Source organism: Homo sapiens, chromosome 7, assembly GCF_000001405.40.
Source record: "Homo sapiens chromosome 7, GRCh38.p14 Primary Assembly".
Taxonomy (NCBI): Eukaryota; Metazoa; Chordata; class Mammalia; order Primates; family Hominidae; genus Homo; species Homo sapiens.
The window spans coordinates 133,709,667-133,734,617 of record NC_000007.14 but is presented as its reverse complement, the minus strand read 5'-3'; the positions used below and the strand labels follow the sequence as shown (position 1 = coordinate 133,734,617).

Sequence of the window (24,951 nt, the reverse complement as noted above, 5' to 3'; positions counted from 1 at the left end):
AAATCAGGGAGATTCAACCTGTACAGGAAAACTAGAATTTCAAGAAGTCCCTGGGTTTCTGGAAGGCATACAGAAACCGGGGGAAAAATCCTCGAAATATAATTTTTCCAATAAATGGAATCTAACAGAAACAATTAGAGATCTAAAGTTTCAACCTCATAACCATCTCGAAAAAAAAAAAAAGTGAAGAATTATCATGAGATAAGTGAACTTCAAAGGTTCCATTTACATTCTGCCAGGTCCTGTTTAAGTAAAATGGAAAACCAATTTATGACCCATCACCATCTCCCTGCTTAATGTGATAATGACTGCACAGGCTTAAAAGGTTTAATTTTAAATTCTTCCTAGTACTTGGGATGTTCTCATCAATAATTTGAGTTTTTGAGTGTCACCAACTCTCACTCTGGGCTGCTAACGGAAGCTGTCCCAAGGATACAATGAAGCTCTCCTGTGGATAACAAACAACTTACCTGTACAAATTTGATCTGCCAGAGGCGCTATTGTCTAGTGGTTGGTAAATGGTTTGTATAAAAATCCATATATTGAGTTGAGCAGGAATGAAATAAAGTCTGAGCAGTGACAGAATGTCAATTATGGAGTTGGTAAAATAGCCCTTTTAAAAAGTTGTTAACTTAGGCACTTTTTTGATTCTAAGGATTTTATTTAAATATCATATTTCTCTGTCACAAGCCACCTTTTTGTCACTTGCATAGTATCATGAGGAATTAGAAATGAAGGGTGAAGAATCTCAATAGATCACCCTAAGATTTCTATAGAAATGTGGTAGTTACAAACACTGAAGAGAAAGTTACCATAGACTTGTAAAAATTAAAGTTCAGGGAGAATGAAAATTAAAGAGTGACACCTAGACGTGTCAAGTGTAATGACAAAACTAGTAGTTAAGAATTGGCAAGGAAAGGCAATAAGAGGAAAACATTTATGCCATATATCTGTATATGCCAAATGCCATATACATTAACATTTGAGGCACTTTCTTTCCTTTTGGCTCTTTCAGTAGCAGCACGGCAGTTGCCAAGAACAAGTGCCTTACAAAAAGTGGCAAAAAGGAAGCCAAGAAAGTTGTTGATCCATTTTCCTTTTTTTATCTTTATTTTTTTCTTTCTTTGAGACAGAGTCTCTCTCTGTCGCCCAGGCTGGAGTACAGCAGCGTGATCCTGGCTCACTGCAGCCTCTGCCTCCTGGGTTCAAGCGATTCTCCTGCCTCAGCCTCCTGAGTAGCTGGGATTACAGGCATGCACCACCATGCCCAGTTAATTTTGTATTTTTAGTAGAGACGGGGTTTCACCATGTTGGCCAGGATGGTCTTGATCTCCTGACCTTGTGATCTGCCTGCCTCGGCTTCCCGAAGTGTTGGGATTACAGACAAAAGCCACCATGCCCAGCCGGTAGATACATTTTCTAAGACCGACTAGTGTGATGTGAAAGCAGCTACATTCAATATAAGAAGTATTGGAAAGACACTAGTCACCAGGACTCAAGGAACCAAAATTGCATCAGATGGCCTCAAGGGTTTGCGTGTTTGAAGTGAGCCTTGCTGATCTGCAGTCAAGTTGCATTTAGAAAATTCAGGCTGATTACTGAAGACGAACAAGGTAAAAACTGCCTAACTTTCATGGCATGGATCCTACCAGTGACAAAATATGTTCCATGGTCAAAAAAATGGCAGACCATTACTGAAGTTCATGTTGATGTCAAGACTACTGATGGTTATTTGCTTCATCTGTTCTGTGTTGGTTTTACTAAAAAGTACAACAATCAGATACAAAAGACTTCTTATGCTCAGCACCAACAGGTCTGCCAAATCCAGGAGATAATGATAAAAACCATGACCCAAAAACTGCAAGACAGATGACTTGAAAGAAGTGGCCAGTAAATTGACTTCGGACAGCATTGCAAAATATATTAAAACAGCTTGCTAATCTATTTATCCTTTCCATGATGTCTTGGTTAGAAAAGTAAAAATGCTAAGCCCAAGTTTGAATTGGGAAAGGGCATGGGGCTTCATGGTGAAGGTAGTGGTTCTGGAAAAGCTACTAGAGACAAGACAGGTGCTGAAGTTGAATGAGCTGATGGGTGTGAACCACTAGTTCAGGAATCTGTTTAAAATTCAGCCTTTTTTCTGTTGCTGTTTAATTTTAAGTTCTGGGATTCATGTGGAGAATGTGCAGGTTGGTTACATAGGTAAATGTGTGCCATGGTGGTTTGCTGCACCTATCAACCCATCAGTTTGCTGCACCTATAACCCATCACCTAGGTATTAAGCCCCGCATGCTTAGCTATTTATCCTGATGCTCTCCCTCCCTCCATACCCCTGACAGGCCCCAGTGTGTGTTGTTCCTTTCTCTGGGTTCATGTGTTCTCATTAACTCCCACTTGTAAGTGAAAATGTGGTGTTTGGTTTTCTGTTCCTGTGTTAGTTTGCTGAGGATAATGGCTTCCAGCTCTATCCATGTCCCTGCAAAGGACAGGATCTTGTTCCTTTTTATGACTGCACAGTATTCCATGGTGTATATGTACCACATTGTCTTTGTCCAGTCTATCACTGATGGGCATTAGGGTTGATTCCATGTCTTTGCTATTGTGAATAGTGCTTCAGTGAACATACGTATGCATGCATCTTTATAACAGAATGATTTACGTTCCTTTGGGTATATAACTCATAATGGAATTGCTGGGTCAAATGGTATTTCTTGTTCTAGGTCTTTGAGGAGTCGTCACACTGTCTTCCATAATGGTTGAACTAATTTATATTCCCATAGTCTGATTTGTTTAAATTTTTTTTTGAAATGTGAGTTCTAATTTTCAGAATACTTTGATATAATTAAATTTCTGGTCCTCACAACATGAACATGAGGCTGAAAAAACAAGCTTTTATTATACCCATTCTATAGCTGAGGCAACTAAGAGAGGTTAGCAACTTGCCTAGAAGCAACCATTTAAGCTAAATGGTAGAGTCAGGATTCAAACTGAGGTCTCATGCCAAATTCCATGCTACTCCACTGTATTAGTGAGTATTTTATTTGGCTAGACATGTTACTATTTTATTTATCTCTTTATTTTTTTCTCTGCTGTTTTGCAAGATCACAGTAGTAGTTCTAGAAGTCTAGTAGTTCTACAAGTTACTATTTTTTTTTCATATCCCAGTAACAAATGGAGAGTCTTCAGTTAGTACCTATTACTTAAAAAAAAGCCAAAGATATGGGATATTCATTTATGCATGTCTCACATAAAAGAAAGCAAGCAATAAAAGGGAAATAAGAAGTTATTGGTTAACGGGTAGCATTTCAGTTTGGGGAGATGAAGAGATCCTAGAGATAGATGGTGTTCATGGTTGTTTAACAATGTGAATGTATTTAATGTCACTGAATCATACACTTAAATGGTTAAAACAGTAAATCTGATGTTACATTTTATTATTTTATTGCAATGATCAAAAGGAATAAAACATTAACAACCACATCAAATTTTCATTGAAATATTGTGCAAAACATAAATTAGGGTGAAATCTAATATTTTTGAAAATCTCTGTGAAATATGCTGCTTATTTAAATGTAATCTATAGTTTTAAGTAAAATCTAAAGTAAAAAATACCTAAATCCTATCTTCCATTTGAAGAACTGGATTTACTTTGTAACTATTATCAAGTGAATCTTGTGAAGTCAAATGAGATCTAATAGAGGAAAGTAGAATATTTAACCTTACTAAAGGCCTGTCTTCCACAGCATTCACCAAAAAATTACCAAAGTGCACCATACTTGTGTTTATCTGTTATTGCAAGTTAATCCATACAAAATTGAAAAATAAAACCAATATAGCACATAATTTCAAATAGTTTGATATTCAATGTTGGTATTTTTGAACTCTTCTTTCAATATGCTTTGGATTGTAAGCTCCATGAGGACAGAGATTCATCTTACACTTTGCTGTATGTCCAGAATTCAGCAAGTAATAGAGGAAGGAAGGCAGGAAGAGAGGAGAGACAGAAGATTAATGACTTTATAAACATATCCAAACAGGCATCCCAAAGCGAATGTGAAATCTGCCAAATCTAAAACAGCTGGTAGCTCACCAAGTTGACTTTCGTTATATCAGAAAGCTGTTTTTTTAAGAACTGTGCTCAGCAGATAGGGCAGGACCATTAATACCATCTTACTAATCTGTTAGAAAGAAATAATGAAAATTTAGAACATTTCAGTAAAGTGCCATCATAAACAATTAATCCTAACGCTCCATACATGAGGATCCTGTTACCTCTAAGATCTCCCCTATAAGGTCCCTGTCCAGGTAGAGAATGTAATTTTAAGCCCATTTAACAAGATTGTCATATTGTTGCAATCAATTATTATCCTGTTTCCAATCATCTCATTTGTACAATGTAGGTCAGAAAGAAGGTCACTAAGAAGCTGTTTTAGCTGCCTTTGGGATCTAGTGTGCGGTTTTGTTTGTTTGTCATCCTTGATTTGTGGTTATTAGAAAGAGTAGCAATGCTGGAATAACAGGAAATTAAAGCCATGCTCTAATTTGGTCAAAAGCCTGCATCTTTTATTTCCTTCACCTAAATCCAAGAAAAGTAATAACAATAGCCAATGATTATTTATCCGAATGCTATAACATTTAATTTCTAAAGGTCGATTACTTTATCTTCCTCTGAGAGGTTTCCAGATAAAGATTTAATGTATCGTATACCTTTGACCAAGAGACTGGACTACTGTAGACCTAGAAAAGGAAGTTTTCTTAGCCTTCTGTAGTGAGGAGAGAATCTATCTTTTGAATACATGGAAGCATTTAGAAAAGGAGAAATATAAAAGCTGATTATGACTATTTCAATACTTTTTAAAAAGTTACCATCAAAATAAGGAAGTTTGAAAAATACTCTAAAAGAAAAATCTATAACTAACTAAAAATAAAATAACAAGAAAGCTTGAGAAGTCTTACCATCTTTGAAAAGACCAAAGAAGTTATTCTGTAAGTAAGCACTCCCTTCCAGTCATGCCAGATAATATCATTTCAATCACAGGAGGCACAATGAGGCCTTTTCATTGCTCCCTAATATGCAGTGAACTGAGCTGACAGTGCTGACTCTTTCTGGTTAAATATATATTTACCTGGCAGTATCTTTTATGTGTTTCTCCCTTCCCCAGTGCCCTCAAAAAGCAGTTTGCAAGATTTGTATATTAGGTCAATGTGAGTCCAAACCCATTGATTAAAGACAAATAAGCAAATAGCATTGCTTTAACAATTATACAATAGACTAGTGCAATTACTGTCTTCTCAAAAAAATAACATTTTTAAAAAATGGCATAATTATATATTTACTCAATAGAAGGTAACCAAGCCAGCTGTCAATCATTCCCACATTTCTTCTCACAACTTGCCTCAAGTTTTTAGTTCGCAACTAAATTTTTGTATTTGTTCTTTTTAGGTCTTCTTGAAACTAATTCTAAGGAAATATAATGGAAGAAAATTCATCAATAACCAACATTATCTGAGAACCAACAGAGTCTACAGAATAGAACTATGGATCTGTCATTCAAATATTTGAAGAACTGTTTTGTGGAAGAGAGATTAGACTATTTCCATAGAAACCCAAAGGCTAGAAGTGCAATGGAAATTTCCCCCAGTATATACTGTCACAGAAATAATCCTCCTGGGAGGAGACTGCGTTTTGCATTAAAGGAAGGCTTTCTAATAGCTAATTTCATTGAGAGATGGAATGGGTTTCCTCAAAAGGTGGAGAGTTCTGTATTACTAACAGTATGTTAGGGTGGACAAAATTCAAGATGAAGGGATGCTAGAGAAAAGATCATGTGTTGGAGTGTCTGGGCTAGAAAACCTTCAAGGTCTCAGTATAATGACTTGTACATAGAAGTCCTTCTTGTTAATGCTATTGGCCAACTAATAATGAAATGGGGTAAGAGCCCAAAAGAAGTTTACAGAATAGATGAATTTTACATCATGTTATAGTGGCACATACTGTAAATTACAAATAGCTAGATGGCAATGAAGTAAGGGAAGTTTACACTAAATATGAAGACAAATTACCAGCAAATACAACCATTTTCCAAGGGAAGGACAGAAAATCCAACTTAAATCTAACAAGGAAAGACACTCTTTGATTCATTCGATATGGTCAGAAAAGCTTGAGACAGTCTATAACTCTCAATGTTATCTACAGTTCTGAAATAAAAAACTGTCTACAGTAAACATTATGTGACAACATCAATACAAAGTCTCAATAAAAATTTCCCCAGTACATAGTGTCACAGAAATAATCCTTTCAAGATGGCTCCCTAGCAAATAGTTACTTTCATGAAACAGCAACTATGCTTCTTACTAGTCAAGTTTCACAAAGCCTTTAAGCAGAGGTTTAGCTTCCCATGGAACTTTCTCTCTCCACCTGATGCACTACCATAAATTTCTAACATAAGATTTTAAGGTCTAATGATAAAGTTATAAATATTGACTTCGGCTGTTGCTGGTTTTCACTCAGTGATGCTGCTGATCAACAAGAAAAGTGGCAATTTGGGGTAAAGGAAGAATCAGATACTCATTTGCTGTTATCAAGGCAATAAACTGCCAAGTCGGCAATGATTTAAAAGAATTTTAACAAGGAGTGTAAAATGAAAAATAAAAAAGAAAGAAATTCAACTGTAATTAACTTAAAACATAAAAGTTAATGCTTAATCCTTTCAATGTAAATAATTTAAGAATAAGCATGTGTTCACAAGGGAAAGTGGTAAACACTATAAAAATATAAAAACGAATAAAAATGGGAGTAATCTTGTTATAACTTTTCCTTGCACACACTTGTTTATTAAATTATTTACCCGGAGGTACTGCTGCTTGTTGTGGGTGTGACGACTTCGAGGTTACTTTCCGGAGCTGCAGCATTGACTACGCAGGCCCGCAGTCCCAGTGGGCGACCGCAGTGCGCTCCACGGCATCTGGAGGTTGTGCTCCTAGTGATAGTGAGCAGGTGACTGGGTTGGAGAGGGAGGTTATGATGGCTGCACTGAAGGGACTGGACCCTACAACATACTAACCCCAAAGGCAGCCTCAGGAACCAAGAAGGAGCCTAATTTGGTCCTATCCATCACCAACAAGCAAATAGGGGGCTGTGTCTGTGAAGAGGACAACAGCGTCATCATCTGGTTTTGGCTGTGCAAAGGCAAGACCCAGCAATGCCTTAATTGTGGAATCCATTAGAAGGTGGTGTCCCAGCAGGTGGCCCACTGAGCCCATGCACTAAGTTACTCAAAATGTGCTGTAAAGTTTCTTCTTTCTCATAAAGATTAGCCATTGCATTGGCACCTTCTCTTATAAGTGGCTGGTCTTATTTCTTTCCGATATTTTTGGGTAGGCAGGGAATATTCTTATGCTGGCAATAGCTATCTGTTAACACTAGCTTGACATTCACTTACTTAAAGTATATAATCACTGTATAGTGCTTAGATCAATAACAAAAACAGATTGACAATCTATTAAAAATAAATTATTTAAATTGAAAAAATTTAGCTTGAATCTGACAGGCAATAAGTGCAATATTTGAATAAATTTAATGGAACTATCTCAACTAATTCCATGACGCCTTATTTGTCTTCATTTACAAGTGAAGAAATGGAGCCTTCAGGAGTTTAGGTTACTTAGGAAAGTCACAGGTTCGTAAATAAAAAACTAGTATTTGAAAACAGGTCTGTTTATACCATTCTCCATGTTCACAATCATTCCACTATGGTGTCATGCACCTGCTCACAGGGATCCTAGAATATCATGTGCAAAACAAAATGAACAACTGGAACCAAATGGAAAGTGGGATGCATGTCAGTAGAGCCATGACAAGGGTTTAAGGACAGGTTAGAAGAGAAGTGGAGGGAAGGGGAAGTACTCATTTAGGAGAGGGCATTTGAAAGGGCTCCTAGTAGAGGGATAAGATTTCAAGAGGCAAAGAAGGACAGAATGGCATTTCACACATGAAGGAATTTGCATAGAATGAGTAAATAAAGAAATGCAAAATTGCAGAGCCTATTGGAGGCCTATGAAGAGGTGTTGCAGTTCAACTCAGTCATATATTAAAATACAAATTCCTGGTCAAGGAGTTGGCAATGGGGAGCCATTAAAGGCCTCTGAATGGGGTAAGGGGGTGTTGTACATTAGAACTCAACAGAAGTCAGTATAGAATAGCACGTACCCAGTTATTCATTGACTCAGCACACATACGTGTGCCTATTACGTACCAGGCAGCATTTGATAAGTACTGATGAAGTCTTACTTGACACACTTGTACTTGGCTGCTAAAACATCACTTTCTGGTTTCTTTCACCCTTCTGCAGTCTTCTTTTCTCAGTTTTCCGTATGTGTTTTACCACATACTGAAGTATGCCAAGGATTAGTCCTCAGACCTTTTTCTCTTCTTTGTCAAATTCTCTCTCTAGGAGATCTTATTCCTACCCATGGTTTTAATACCATTTTTTATAACTATCAAGTGTATATAGCTGCAGTCCAGATCTCAGTCCTCACCTCCAAACTTCCCTTGGATAACTGACAGACATCTTAAACTTCAAGCCAAATTTAACAGTTTCTCCCAAATCTGCTTCTATCCAAGTCTTTCCCATCACAGTGAATAGCAACTCCTTTTTGTCAAATGTGGAGTCCAAACACCTTTAAGTTATTTGTTTGAATTTCCTCTGTCTTTTACACCACACATGCAATCCACCAATAAATCCTGTCAAGTCTACCTTTGAAATAAGCCTGGTCATCGCACCTCTCATTCACACCAGGAGTTGGTAAACAACAACCTATGGGCCAAATCTGACCAATGAATGAATAAACTTTCATTGAAACACAACCATGCTAGTTCATTTACATACTGTCAATAGTATACTTCAGTAGTTGTCATAGAGTCCCTATGAAATGTCAACCCTGGCCAGACACAGTGGTTCACGCCTGTAATCCCAGCACTTTGGACGGCTGAGGTGGCTGGATAACCTGAGGTCTGCAGTTTGATACCAGTCTGGCCAACATGATGAAACTCTGTCTCTACTAAAAATACAAAAATTAGCTGGATGTGGTGGTGGGGGCTTGTAGTCCCAGCTACTCGGGAGGCTGAGGCAGGAGAATCACTTGAACCCAGGAGGCGGAGGTTTCAGTGAGCTGAGATCGCGCCATTGTACTCCAGCCTGGGTGATAAGAGTGAAACTCGATCTCAAAACAAACAAACAAGAAAAAGGAAATGTAAACCCTAATATAGTTACTAGCTAGCCCTTTATAAGAAAAAAAATTTTTGCTAAGCCTTGATCTGCATTCCTAAGGCTTCTCCCTGCTTTTGCCTCTTTGCTTCCACATACTATTCTCCATAAAGCAACCTGTGAAAATGTATAAAATTTTTCTGACCAATACGCTAGCCATATGTTACTGCTTAAATTAAAATTCTATTAAATTTAAAAATTCAGTTCCTCAGGTGCATTGGCAACATTTCAAGTGTTCAATAACCACAAAGGGTTAGAGGGCACTGCAGATTTTAGACTACTTCCATCATCACAGAAAGTGCTATTGTTCAGGACCGCTTTAAAACCAAAGTCACATCATTTTCCTGTACTTCGCTAAACCTTCCAATAGCTTTTTAATTCAATGTAAACATCTTTGCTATGGCTTATGATGTGATCACCCTTCATCCCCAATTCCACACCACTTCTCTGACCTCATCTCCCTTCACTTCTCACTCATTGTGTTCTAATCCTACCAGTCCCCTCACAGTTCCTCCAAATGCCAAGCACATGCTTCTTTCAGGTACTTTGTACTTGCTGTTCCCTCTTGCTAGAACATCTGTCTCCAAATAACTGCATGAACCGTTCCCATATTTCTTTTGGCCTCTGCTCAAATATCACCTTCAGAGATCCCTTTCTTAATGAGCCCTTCAGTCCACTTTACCTTCATGGTGCTTGTCACCAAATGATCTATTATCTGTATCTTATGATTCATTAATAAAATAATAGATATGATATTATTAATATCTGTATTTCCCTGCAAGTTCCAAAAGAACAAAATTTTTTTCTGTTTTGTCACTAATATAACTCCAGAGCCTAGAACAATATAATGTACACAGTAGATGCTCAATAAATATCTGTTGAAAAAAATAAAAAATATTTGTTGAATGAGTGCTGAGTAAATGAACTTATGAATGAAAACACCCAGCAAACGAGTTTCCGGAAGAATTAAGGTATATGAAGTAATGCTTTAGAATGTGCCTTTGCTGCACTGACCTTGCTTCCAGATATGGTTTAAATTTTAACTTGACCTCCATCAAACTTTGGTCTGACTGAGGTCTCCTTTGGAGTAACTGGAAAAGTGAAGGATTCTCAACAAAAGAAGACTGTAAGACTTTTGAAATATCAGCCTGGGAAAACCAGATCTGACCTAGCAACTCAAGGCCTAAGACTAAACTTACCATTGATTAGTCTGACAGCCTAGGTTTAATTATAATCAATAATCTATCATCATTAAACTGTTAATAATTATGTAAGATTTTTGGCTCTCACATAAGTTAAACTGGCCTGACTAGCAAATGCATGTAAGTTTTTTTAATATATATATAACTCAGGGCTTCGCTTTTAATTCTAAATAAGTCATTATGGAAATAAAATCTATTTATTTAGTAGATCAAGATAATATTCTCAGTTGGGCATGGTGGCACATCTATAATCTCAACTACTCAGGAGGCAGGTGGGAGGACTGTTGGAGCCCAGGAGTTCAAGACCAGACTAGGCAACATAGTGAGGCCCTGTCTCATTAAAAAGAAAAAAATAAATAAGTTGGGCATGGTGACTCACGCCTGTAGTCCCAGCACTTTGGGAGGCCGAGGCATGTACCTTACCCGAGGCCAGGAGTCTAAGTACAGCCCAACCAACATAGTGAAACCCCGTTTCTACTAAAAATACAAAAAATTAGCTGAGCATGATGACATATGCCTGTAATCCCAGCTACTTGGGAGGCTGAGGCACAAGAATCGCTGAACCCAGAAGGCAGAGGTTGCAGTGAGCCAAGATCACGCCATTGCACTCCAGCCTGGGCAACAGAGTGAGACTTTGTCCCAAACAAACAAACAAAAAAGAAAGAAAGAAAAAAAAAGATGTTCTCCCATCAAGTACAAGAGGTAATGTCTTACCTGTGTTCTCTGCCAGAGGGGGATATACCATTTCTCTTGTTTTAAATAGTGTTCTATTTCTCCTCTCTAACCAATTCCATCTAAGATTGAATGAATGAAACAACATGGGAGGTGGAAGAGTGAAAGCAATTGCTCAAGGTTTAGCAGAAACTGCCCAAAGGCGCCAGCTAGTGCCAGCTGCAGCACAGCAGACTTTGCTATAAACTGCCTGACCTCTTCTCCCCTCTTTTCTACCCCTTGTAACACTTTTTATTTTTGCTGTGAATCCCAAACCAGCTACTTTAATGAGCAACAGACATGTAGCACAAATATATTCACTCATCTGGCAGCTTTCATCTGGCAAATTTGTAACATATGAATTCCAAAGCAGGTAAATAATTTAAGATTACTAATGTAAATGGATAAGTAACACTTAACTCATAAATAATACTCATAGAGGAATTTTTCTCTAAGGCATATAAAAGCAAATCTGTATGATGATCACTGACCTAAGAAAAGGTTAAGAGTAGTTTAATAAATGCACAAGTAGAATTCAGACTGACACAAATTTATTTTTCCTGCTACTACATCCACATGGCAATAATCCAATCTGTGAAGCTGAATTTACGAGGTAAGGGCATAACTCAAAACCTGCTTGTTTAAAAATGCAACAATTTAGGGCAGTTTGGAGTAGTGATATTATACACCACTTTGCATTTTGAATGGCAGTGAAATTTTACATTGATTTTCACAGCAGAAGACACTTACATGAACACTCTAGTAAAAATTAATGGATTATTTTCCCTTCCCCAATGACCTTTAAAATGCCTAAAATTCAAGGTGAAGTACGTAACAGTTATCACCTCTGCTTACTACACCAGTTGTATTACACCAAAGACAGGGTTTCAATATTTCCAAATTGGCTACTGATAGAGACATGCAATTGCCAAAGGCAGGGTTTAACAATAGCCAGTTTCCCTTTCCCTGTGGAAAAAAAAATATTGCTTCCTTAGCATTTCTCATTCTGTAGAATCTTGATTTCTAAAGGAGAAAGACATTAACTATTTTCTCCATTTAAAGAGACTGTACTCTAGATAAATGCAAAGGTAACAAGAATGTAATGAACTCAGGTAAAGTAGCTGAGTATGTGTGGCCAGAGATACCAGTTTTCTCTGGTTTTATGTCTTAACACTCTCAAAATCAAAGTGCATTATCAATAGATTTCCAACATTTCATTGCAATGAAAGAACAGTTTTCAGGCGTCCAAGTCCCAAATGGGATACAGGGCAAAGCCTATTTAGCAAGAAATCATAAAGCCACATTTTTATGTCTTTAGTTCTGACCTCCTGTTTGCGTGCCAGAATTTATATGCAGCTGCAAATTGCATCAGGTATATAACTTCATCTCTGTCCCTTACTTTAAATTCAGTATGTTCAAACTCAATTCTGCCAGAAACTGTGAAGAATCTCAGGTTTTACCCTACTTGCAAGCTAACAAGTTAGCCTGCCATCATTTCACAGATGCTGGTAGAAATTAAAAACAAACAAACAAACAAAAACTCCTGGGTCAGGGACAAGGATATTTTATTACTCCCCACAAAAATAGTAGCCAGAATATCATCATTTAGTGGGAGGCATTATCTCTTTCTTCCAAGGCTGTTCACTAACCAACCATCCTTCAGGTCACAACCAAAAGGGTGTCACTGTGCCTCTGTTCATGACACATGGACACAAGCGATCCATGGAGCATTGTCTCCCAACAAATTCCTTCTTACCATGTAAACCTAACCCATGACTACATGAAAAGAGACGCCTGATTTATTAGGAAGTCATGAAAAAGAACTGGTGCTTCTGGTTGACCACAAAGATTCAAAAACTTACTGTGTCATACACCAAGCATCATATTTTATCTGGATTTTTCTTTTTCTAAATCTTAAACTGGCCTATGTCTAATGTGATAAAATCTGGCCTCTGACAACATTAGGAACAGGAATGAGACTCCTTGACTTCCAAACGTATCGTTTTTCTGACACACCACCCTGGTTTCAAATTATGAGAATCTCTATCTTATTAATGGTTCCAATTACCAGTTTTGATTCGTAGCTCTTTCCCTAAGGATACTATAAGAATCTCAAACAGGTAACACTCAAAAGGTATGTCTGATAATGTTTTGAGGTATTTTTCTTTATAATAAGTTCCTATGAGTATGGGAAATAGTAAATTGCAAGGTAATGCCATTGCTGATAAATGTGCAAAACACAGATTTTTTCATAATCTTAATGAAAAAAATGAAAATTAAGCTCCATATTTTCTCATCTTCACCCAAAACCAAGGCCAGTGTATAGTACATATTTTGATGGGAAGAATGAGTTCTCTGAATTTCAAGTTCTCTATTTTCCGTTAATTGGATACAGGTAGTAAATTCAAGAGCAAGTCTACCAGAAGCAAAAGGAATAGAGCAAAATTACCATTTCAACATCAAATACCACTAAGCTACACATTTAATGTAGGAAAATCGAAGGCTCCTATATTATAACCTAGCTCAAAAGATTTTGTTCTCAAAATTATCAGATAAATTTAAGTCCTAAATAACTATTAGCTGTTTTTGTGGTGGCATGCTTAGGACAGCAGTCAGGTCAGTTTGAAGTTATCTATCCTCTTGCTGGAATATTCATTTTCTACATCTCCAAATAGTCTATCTTCTCTTTATCTACCATGGAAATATTATTGTTTGCTAAATACAATAGCAGGTTGCCGTTAAGCATCATCAACAAGTTAAGCAAGATATTGTCCTGACTCTCTTGAAATTTATTTTTCTTTGGTATTTTAACAGAAAACAACTGAGGCAGGCATGCAAAATCCACCAAACTATCAGAAATTTCTAGTTGTATAACTTGATATATTCCAAAAGGGACTATTTTATTTGCTTTAACATGAATAGAAAATAAAATACCCCCAAAATAAGATCCTATGGTCGACTGTTTTGTGCATTATGGTTTCCTTGGGTAAAGAGGTTATTTCCTTACCGGTGGTTATGCCTTGCAATCTCATAATTATGAAGGTTTATACGCAACATTCATTAAATAAGTCTCTTGATTATTTGCACATATAGCAGATTTAATTAGTATTACTCTAAGGTATTATTATATTTTAACCTATTATGTATTGGCAAAATAGGTACTATACACATTTTTTCAGATAAGGAAATCAAGGCTCAGAGATCTTAAGTGAGTGGCTTAAGGCCCAAGGCCAGAACATAATCCTTTATTGGTGATATACTCTCCCAGAACCCCACGCTTAGCATTATTTCAGGGGTAGATTCACTTACCCACTTAATGAAAGACTATTCTAGTTAACGAGATAGGAACTGGTAATACAGTGAGAAAAACAGACACAGACCTTGCCCCAAGAGGTCCACAGCCAAACGTGGCGATGGTGAGAACATATTAGACAATCATATATAATCAATCACAATCAGTGGGATAAGGTCCAATGAATCTGAACTCCTTTGCATACCTTCAATTCATCCATCCATCCATCCATCCATCCATCCTTTCCTGAGAAGTTAGTTTCTTACAAGCATTATGCTAGACGGGGTTAGAAAACAGAATGTTGAACAAGACACTGCAATCTTTTATAGAACTCTGGCTCGCTACATTAAAAACAATTACTATTTCTTGAAATGAGAAAGTATTGTTTCTGAGTTTCTGCCAATTCAATTTAATGAGAAATCACCAAAACTCACTTCAGAGAAATGCCATTTATGTTGTTTTTGTCACTATGCCTTATTAAAATAATCTTGATTACTTCTTAACTCTTTTTTGCAATGCTAAGCCTCAAACCATGCACACAATGATGAAGAGCAGCAGACAGACAAAGGTCTGAGGCACACTGCAACTAAGGGCTTAATGAAAGGAATGAAGGCTGATGGCAGACTAGATGGAAGTCGAAGTTCAAAAAACTCAAATCCATGGCTTCCTGGAAAATAAATTACTTCTAGCCTAAAAGGTCTTCCTGCTTTTAATTTGTTTACTTTCCAATCTATGTGGAATGCCTACCACCACACTATTTTTCCTAAAAATTCTTCTATGTGTCATAGTGTATTAGTTCGTTTTCATGCTGCTAATAAAGACATAACCAAGACTGGGCAATTTACAAAAGAGGCTTAATGGACTTACAGTTTCTCATGGCTGGGGAGGTCTCACAACCATGGTGGAAGGCAAGGAGGAGCAAGTCACATCTTACGTGGATGGCAGAAGGCAAAGAGAGAAAGTTTGTGCAGGGAAACTGCTCTTTTTAAAACCATTGGATCTTGTGACACTTATTCACTACTGAGAGAACAGCATGAGAAAGACCTGCCCCCATGATTCAATTACCTCCTACTAGGTCCCTCCCACAAAACATAGGAATTGTGGGAGTTACAATTCAAGATGAGATTTGGGTGGGGACACAGCCAAACCATCTCACATGGTTCGACGTGAAAATCACGAATGGCTCCAAATGGACTGGAAGAGGACTCTTTGGTCTTACATTAAGGGCCCTCCACAAATCCAGTCTATTCTCCCTAGAATGAGCCCTTTCCCTAACAAGACTGGGAAAGTGGGTCCACCCACTATCCCTGAGCATGGCTATGCCCATAAAAATGTTCTCACCACTCGCTTTCTCAGAGGATCCTTCCTTTTCAGCTAATGTTTACTAAACATTCACCATGTGTTACATGGCTATTTTATTTAATCCTCACTACAATCCCAGGAAAAATGAACTATTACTATCCCAACTTCATATTTTACAATACTAAGGCCTAGAGACATTAAGGGCCTCAGGTTACATAGCCAGTGAGTGGGGAAGCAGGGATTTGAATTGAAGTCTTCTAGGGTGCAAATTCTTAACCTCGGTAGTGCAAGAAGCAGGATTATCTGATAGTGACCCCAGAGCTGACCCAGTGTTGCCTGGACAATGGGCTGGCTTGGGTAGGTGAACACTTTCCTCCCAAATCAGTTCTCCTCAGCACTGGTGGCTTCTCTAAAAAGAGAAAACTGCCAATTCACATCAGTCTAAAGGCATCTAAGTACTAGGAAAGCAGCTGACATTCTCAGACAACTTCTCTAGGCAGCTGGGGCCCTAAATTGAACTGCTTGGTCCTAAGTAGCCTCTGTATTCCCCACCAATAAGAATGCTTCCTCATTCTTGCCCTGTGGTAAGGCGGAATACCAGGGAAACTCAAACCCACAGAGTAGGTTCAGCAGAATCCAAACCTAGTATACCTAGTACTCCCTCTTTTCTCTTGCTGACTTAGCCTTGTAAGTTTTCCCTTTCACCAGTAAAACCTATTCCTTAACCCACGCTGGGTGAGGCGGGCAATCAGTGTTGAACTCTGGTGCATGATGAATGGAGACTTAGATGGAATCTAGTGAATGAAACCACCATCACCACCTATATGACAGTGCCTTTTGTCATGTGTCTCACTCACTTTTTTAAGGCTGAGCTAAAGTCCCATTCCCTCTGTGAAGAAGTCCCTGATTCTCCTTATTAAAAGGAGTTCTTTAGCCTCTGTTTATAAGAGAGGTGATCCTTTAGCCTGTGAATAAAGCAAGGCTTTGAGATATACACCATCTTTAGTTAAGGCAACTTTTTCACAAATGTTAATTTTGGTTCCAATGAAACTGTAAGCTCCCCAAGGATAAGACAAGAGCCTTATATTTAGTAACTTCAACAGGCCCAGATATAAACATGTAAAAAATAGGCATTTAATGTATATTTGCTTGTTGTGTGTGTATGTGTGTAAGTATATTCTATCCTTCACATGACCACACTTCATCTACTCATTATTTACATATGCACATCTAATACACCAAGTACCGTGCTGGGCACTGGATTCACAAAGATACTGTCTTGGCACAAGAAGCTCCCAATCTAGCAGTAAGATGAATATATAAACAATATATTCAAAAAATTTATGCAGAACCATGGGGTAGTGTGGAGAGCACATCATGGAGGACCTCACGGGTTGGGGGGCGGCAAGCATGTGCACAGCCAAAACAGCTACATTCTAGTAGTGCTCTAATGGATCAGATTAAAAGGGAGAAAACACTTACAACTGAATGAGAAATACACCAACTCTTTAGCTATTAAATGAATAATACTAACCTAATAGAAGATTGTTCCTATCATTGATAAAATTATAAAGCTCACTTTATGATCGAAAGTTCTCCCACAAGTTATTAACCTTGAATTACACACAAAAGGCAATTTCACTGATTTTATTCTTTGGCAGTAGCCACCTTAAAGGATAAGAAAAATAGTGAACCTTTCAGAAGTTTTTACAGTTCATCTTTGGAATTTTTTTTATTGGAATCTATTCGGGATACCAATTTTTTTAAAAAATGTAACTATGAAAGAAAAACTAAATTTCTTGCTTCTTAATTTATAGTTGAGCTCAAAGAACACAGGACTGGTATGAATTATGGCCAATTGAAGAAATGTACTTTTAAAGAATATTTTATTTTTTTTCTTTTTGTTAAGATGGAGTCTTGCTCTGTAGCCAGGCTGGAGTGCAGGGGTGTGATCTGGGCTCACCACAATCTCTGCCTCCCAGGTTCTAGTGATTTCCCTGCCTCAGACTCCCGAGTAGCTTGGAATACAGGTGCGCACCACCACACCTTGCTAATTTTTGTATTTTAGTAAAGACGAGGTTTCACCATATTGGCCAGGATGGTCTCAATCTCCTGACCTTTTGATCTGCCTGCCTTGTCCTCCCAAAGTGCTGGGATTACAGGCATGAGCCACAGTGCCCGGCCAAAGAATATTTTCTAAGTAGTGTAAAACAAATAAATCCTATAATTACAAACATATTCTAGAAGTAAGCTCTTTTTTGGGGGCATTTCCATTTCTATATGTCATGACAGGAGACCATATCATAATCTATATTAAAAACCATTTTATGTTTTCAAGTCTATCAGGCAAGATTAGATGTAATAAGTATACACTATTCTGTGAATAGGCAGAATGTCTCTTACAGATCCTTCTAAAGCAGTATTTTTGCTCTTACATTTTTCTAAATCCTTATCTGTATACATAGGTTGCATTCACCCAAGACTCGCTCCCATATACAAGTATTTCAGCTCTATAACAAGCCCTTACATTTTTCAATTTGTTTTCTCCAACACAGTGAAAGCCACTTAAAGACAGAGTCCCATGTCAACTTTTCATTGCTACATGCCCAGCACTCTGTAGTGCCCTGCACATTGTAAGTATTCAATAAACATTTGATGAATGGATGCCTAAATGAATGAAATGCATCTAGAAAAAGAATACTTAAGTATCATGCTAGAATAAACCTTTTTGAATGTAGTGTTGTAGCATGTACTCTTTAAGTATTTGACTTTAATAATTTAAAGAAGCAGGAAAAGAATTTCTCAATTGAGATACCATGTGCCTTCCACCTTCTCCAGCAGAGTTAACTGCTTTAATGATTCTGCATCACCTATAAATGGTTCTCCCCATTTGAACAGGAATAATATAGCAATTTGACAGTAACATTCCAATGAAAAAAATATGCTTTCTAGACTAAGAATTAGAGTTAACATGGGAAGTAAACTGCTCAGCCTCATGGGTCTATAGTACAGACTCATGAGAATTTAGGAGTGAAAGGGCACTGGTACCCTAGCATCCTCCCTTCTCTTCCCTTCCTTTCTCTCTCTGAAAGCCTCTAACAGTGAAAAGAAAACAACGAACAATGTCTGCTGAAACAACACACAAAATGCAGAAGAGGTAGAAAGTGGTCAGCTTTGAATTCAGCAGACAAGAGCAGAGATAAGGCCCTCAAAGAAAAAAGAAAAGAAAATTTCCTATATTCACACAAAATATAAGGGTTTTTATACTGTATGACTGAATTACTATAACTTTTTATATTACTATAACTTGTATCTCTCCCATTGCTTGCATTCCCAATTTCTCCCCCTTCCAAAAAAAAAAAAAGTCATTAGAAAATGTGAAAGATTTAATGGCTACTTTGAGGGTGGCAGAGAAAGGAGCTAAGAGACCGGATCCGTTTTTGTGGTCTGCAGTCAGGTTTCACCTTTTCTAGCTAAAGTGTTCAGTGGTAGCCACAAGAAATGAAAGGATAATGAGAACACTGAAGTCTGGAAAATAACTGATTTGGGCACAACTGTAGTCCCAGCTACTCAGGAGGCTAAAGCAGGGGAACTACTTTAGCCCAGGAGTTTGAGGCCAGCCTGGGCAACATAGCAAGACCCTGTCTCTAAAAGAAATTATTTAAAAACATATACTAGTTTGGAATTAGAGATACTGGAATACCCAGTACAAGGCTGCCCACAGTTTCCATTCTCTGCTGTCTAGCCTCCTTTATTTATACAACCCAGGAAAAAACTGCTGCTCTTTTGTGATGATCATGATGATTTTGAGGAGTAAAGAAAAAACAGAAGAAGAAATATTAATGGAATCAGGTATTAGAACCATAAGAAGAGCTGGAGATCAACAGATATAACCTACCCCATCATACCACAGAGAAAAACGAAGCCCAGAGATGTGATGTCTTTCTCAAGGTCACACAGTAGCAGAGTAGAGGCTAAAGTCCAAATCTGTTTGCTCTTTTGTAGTCTAGTGCAGTCATTCCTGGTATCTGTATGGGGACTGGTTCCAGGACCAACCCAGCCCACTGCCCATGGATGCTCAAGTACCTGATATAAAATGATGTAGTATTGGCATGTAACCTACGCACATCCTCCCACATACTTTAAATCATCGCTAGGTTACTTACAATACCTAATACAATGTAAACACTATGTAAACAGTTGTGCAAAAAAAGTCTGTACATGCTCAATACAGATGCAATGATGTTTTGATTTATACTCAGTTGAACTGGATGCAAAACCCAGGAATATGGGGGGCCAATTGTTACTTTTATTATATTATGACAATCATTATAATATGAATGGAAAAGACAGCTAGATTTGAGTTCTAAAGATCAGGAATTGAATCCTGGCTGAGTCTTAGGCAAGTCACTACACCACTAGAGGCTTTGTTCTCACTCTGGTAAAATGGGGATGACTTGCTAACACAATTGATTCCTAAAATTCCTGAACATACAATACAGACTATGGAAGAAACATCCAAGGTGACCTCTCCGTCAGTAGGCTTTCAGCAGCAAGAGGATGCAACAGTTAGTCAGAAGGTGGGGAGGGTTCCAGGACGGTGAACTGTGGCTCCAGCTGTCTGTCACTCCCTTGGCTCTTGCCTAGTCCATGGTCAGCCTGTCCTCAGGTTATCTTCCCTTTAAACTGCAAAAGAGTTTTTTGCAGAAAAAACTCTCTCCCAACTCTAGAAAGCTTCTACCTAGTACTGATGCTGGTGTGAGGGTGGGCCTGACAGTGGTTGTGCCCACATCCAAGGCTCTGTGTATCCTATCAAGCAGTATAGACCAAATTCCCCGCCATATTTCTATGTCTCAGCTTCCTATTGGTTTCCATTATAGCTCTTATGTTCTATGATACTGTACTAGTCTATTTTCATACTGCTATAAAGAACTGCCTGAAATTGGGTAATTTATAAAGGAAAGAGGTTTAATTGGCTCACAGTTCAGCATGTTTGGGGCGGGGGAGGCTCAGAAAACTTACAGTCACGGCAGAAGGTGAAGGGGAAGCAAGGCACCTTCTTCACAAGGAGGCAAGAAGGAGAAGTGCCAAGCGATGGGGAAAGAGCCCCTTATAAAACCATCAGATCTCATGAGAACTCATTCACTATCACGAGAACAGCATAGGGGAAACCACCCCCCATGATTCAATTACCTCCACCTGGTCTCTCCCTTGACACATGGTGATTATGAGGATTACAATCCAAGAGGAGATGTGGGTAGGGACACAAAGCCTAACCATATCAAATACCTTTCTTGTGTTTGTTTACTTATTTTTTGGTCTTTCTATTCAAACAGAACCTTAATTCTAGATGATATCTATCTTACTCACATTTATATCCCCAAGACTAACATAATGCCTATAGCACAGCAAGCTCTTATGAATATTTCAGAATGATGAAATTAATGACTGTTATGTAACTTTGTGAAAAAAAAATAATTGGTAAGTCAAAGAATAATCCCCATTCTGAGGGAGGTCACAATCTAGTTGGTAGGAATGAACATGGTCCATATTCCTTCCACTATAAATTATCTTTTCTTACTTAGGCAACTCTGTAGAAGAGGAGATGAGTTGGTTATTCTTATAAAACCTACTGCATATGAGGACTTGTCTTTATTAACCCTTTACTTTGTCTTCCCAGATAAGAATTCTTAGCTATTTTTTTTCCTCAGGAATAACTTATTAAGGTGAATTTCATATAATACAAAATTAGCCATATTAAAATGAACAGTTCAGGGGCACCTAGTACAATAAATATTTTGCTATCACCACCTCTCTCTATTTCCAAAACATTTCCGTCACTCCAAAGTAAGAGCCCTTATCCAGTAAGCACTTCCTCCCAATTGTCCCCTTTCCCTAGCCCCTGGCAACCATCAATCTGCATTCTGTTTCTATAAAATTATCCATTCTGGATATTCATATAGATTGAACCATATAATATATGGCCTTTGGGGCCTGGCCTTTTTCACTTAGTATAATGGTTTGGAGGTGTATCCGTGTTGTAGCATGTATTGGTAGTTCATTCCTTTTTATCACTGAATAATACTCCACTATATGGATATACCATTAATTTGTTTATCCATATATTTGCTGACGGCTATTTGGGCTATTTCTATCTTTCAGCTATTGTGAATAGAGCTTTATTAATGTGTGTGTATATGTACTTGTTTGAGTCCCTTTTTAAATTTTTATTTTTGGTATATATATCTAGGAGTGAATAGTGAAATTATATGCTAATTCTATGTTTAATTTTTTGAGGCACGGCCAAACCTGCCATCATGCATCATGGTGGAACCCTTTTGTATTCCTACCAGCAGTGTAGGAGCGCTCCATTTTTTTTTTTTTTTTTTTTTTTTTTTTTTTTTTGAGACAGAGTTTCATTCTTGTTGCCCAGGCTGGAGTGCAATGGTGCAATCTCAGCTCACCGCAACCTCTGCCTCCTGGGTTCAAGTGATTCTCCTGCCTCAGCCTCCTGAGTAGCTGGGATTACAGGCATGTACCACCATGCCCAGCTAATTTCGTATTTTTAGTAGAGATGGAGTTTCTCCATGTTGGTCAGGCTACTCTTGAACTCCCAACATCAGGTGATTTGCCCACCTCGGCCTCCCAGAGTGCTGGGATTACAGGCGTGAGCCACTGCGTCCGGCCAGAGGGCTCCAATTTTTTAATGTCCTGGCAAGACTTGTTATTTTGCATTCTTATGTTACAGCCATCCTAGTGGGCTTGAAGTAACACCTTACTGTGGTACTTCAGTCTTTTTTAAGCCTCTAATTCTTAATACTTGCATTTTCTATCAAGTACTTCTGAATGTTCTTGATGTTTGTCAAATCCACTTTATTTCATGGAGCTCAAATTTAGGCAATGTGGGGAAACTTTTAGAGCATCTTGATAGTCAAAGAGAAAAATAAATCCAAAATGGGCATAAATAAATAAATAAACAGGAAGGCATGGTAAGACAGTGAGTACTACAGTCAGTCAAGAACTATGGGCAACAGTCAGGAAATGACAATAATAAGAGGCACCCATATGAAATGAACCCTCTCTCCCAACCAGGAAATCTCCTAAATGATTCCTGCTAGGAAAAAACTAAATGCTAGGGTTGGCCAGAAAATAATTTGGACTTTATCCTGTTCTTTGCTAGCTCAGCTCTCTTAAGTGCACCTAAACAAGTACGGCTTTACAAATACTGTATTCAAGGACTATGATAATGGCACTGAGTATACACAACTACACCCCAGATTGACAGAGTCTGAGTTCCCCTAAGTGTTGGGAGTCTTGTCAGTCTCCATCTCACTGAGTCTATTTTCCCTAAAAACATCCATGAATTGCTTAATACCATGTACTTTTATGAGACACTCAAAAGTGATCGTGTGTATTTTTATCAGTGGGTTTCAGTTTGTGCATCCTTCCACAAAAATCCATGAAACTCTCTCTATTTTGAGTTTCACTAAATCCATTTTTCTCATTTCAGTCTGAGCATTGCAATCCAGCTCCACAGGTAGCAAATTGAAATGTTTAGTGGCCCATTGCAGACAGATTGAATCTGAAAAGAATACAGCAATAAGAAAGAAGCCAGGCATCAATATCATACAGTAAAACTCTCACCAATGACAGCGATGATGTAGGGTGAATAATTGAGCATTTGTTAAACTTCTACCATTGTGAAAGTAACCTATTATTTTCCTGGTTGTGCACTGAAATGCCTCAATCACCAACAGAACAAGTCAGTAAAAAATGATACAGTTCATTTTGTATTGCTGTTTTTCCGTGGGGACGGTGTGGTGTATCACATCTCTCACCCCTTGAACTCTACTTTACCAATACTGTGCTCAAAATCTCTTCCCTCATTCATTTTGTAAAATGTTTTATATCTTGGTGGCGATTTTTTTTTTCTGGCTGTTAAAATTAAGCCTGATATCATGACATGGTTTTCTGATTTAGGATTACTCTATAGAAAAGAACAGTATCTGGCAAAAAGTATCATGTCAAAACAAAACAAAACAAAAAAAAAGAAATTGGTAGCAGCTGCCCTGAAATACATTTCTGTCTCTCTGACTGCATATTAAAAATAGTTGAGGCTACTGGACAGATCTCATGCAGTAGCATTTTGTATCTGCAACTACCAACTTTTTTTTTTTTTTTTTCTGAGACAGAGTCTCACTCTGTCGCCCAGGCTGGAGTGCAGTGGCGGGATCTCGGCTCACTGCAAGCTCCGCCTCCCGGGTTCACGCCATTCTCCTGCCTCAGCCTCCCAAGTAGCTGGGACTACAGGCGCCCGCCACTACGCCCGGCTAATTTTTTGTATTTTTAGTAGAGACGGGGTTTCACTGTTTTAGCCAGGATGGTCTCGATCTCCTGACCTCGTGATCCGCCCGCCTCGGCCTCCCAAAGTGTTGGGATTACAGGCGTGAGCCACCGCGCCCGGCCGCAACTACCAACTTTTATCACAACTAGTTTCTGTGTCCACATCATCTCATCACTGAGTGAAATCCCCATTCAAACTGAGCCACTAAGGATGCACTGACCCAGGCCTTTGAGCAAGAGGGAAGACTCCGGATGGCACATGAAAGATCAAGTACAGAGGAGACAGCATATCTCCAAGGTCTGTCCCACCCTGTGATAGAAGCCCAGACTATCACCATTGCTGCTTCTGCTGCACTTCCTCCCAAGTATTCTCTAAATGCCTGGCTACTATGGCATACGATATTTTATTAAACTCATAAGTTATTTTATGGCTGATAAAAATGACAACACTCATAGGCAAAGTGCCAGGAATCTAAAAGTAAATGCTCTTGTTCATCTGTCATTTGATGCTAAGAGGATAATGGTGACCAATTTAAGTTTGGTGTAATAACATATGTGTAATAATAACTACAGCAATAACAATAATCACAGTAATAGCAGTCTAGCTAATGCCTACAGCATTTACCATGTGCCAAGCACTCTTCAAAGTGCTTTACTCACAAAAATGCTATCAAGTAGGTTCTATTGCTATCCCCATTTTATAGAGGAGGAAACTGAGACAAGAGATTAAGTCATTTATCCAAGGTTTCACAAGTAGTAAGAGATTGGCATTAAGATGATTTGGCTAAAAAGCCACAGAGTCTTCACGACGACACTGAAACCACATACCACTTTG

The 24,951-nt window shown here is 38.2% G+C and overlaps 1 protein-coding gene and 2 pseudogenes across 10 annotated transcripts in view; 2 read left to right on the top strand and 1 right to left on the bottom strand.

Annotated features, from left to right (window-relative positions):
- EXOC4 (exocyst complex component 4) overlaps positions 1-24,951 on the bottom strand; it is an 847,874-nt gene that overhangs the window by 366,334 nt on the left and 456,589 nt on the right. The gene's annotated exons all lie outside the window — the stretch shown is intronic.
- Positions 1,398-2,125, top strand: RPS3AP27 (RPS3A pseudogene 27; annotated as a pseudogene).
- Positions 6,859-7,498, top strand: COX5BP3 (cytochrome c oxidase subunit 5B pseudogene 3; annotated as a pseudogene).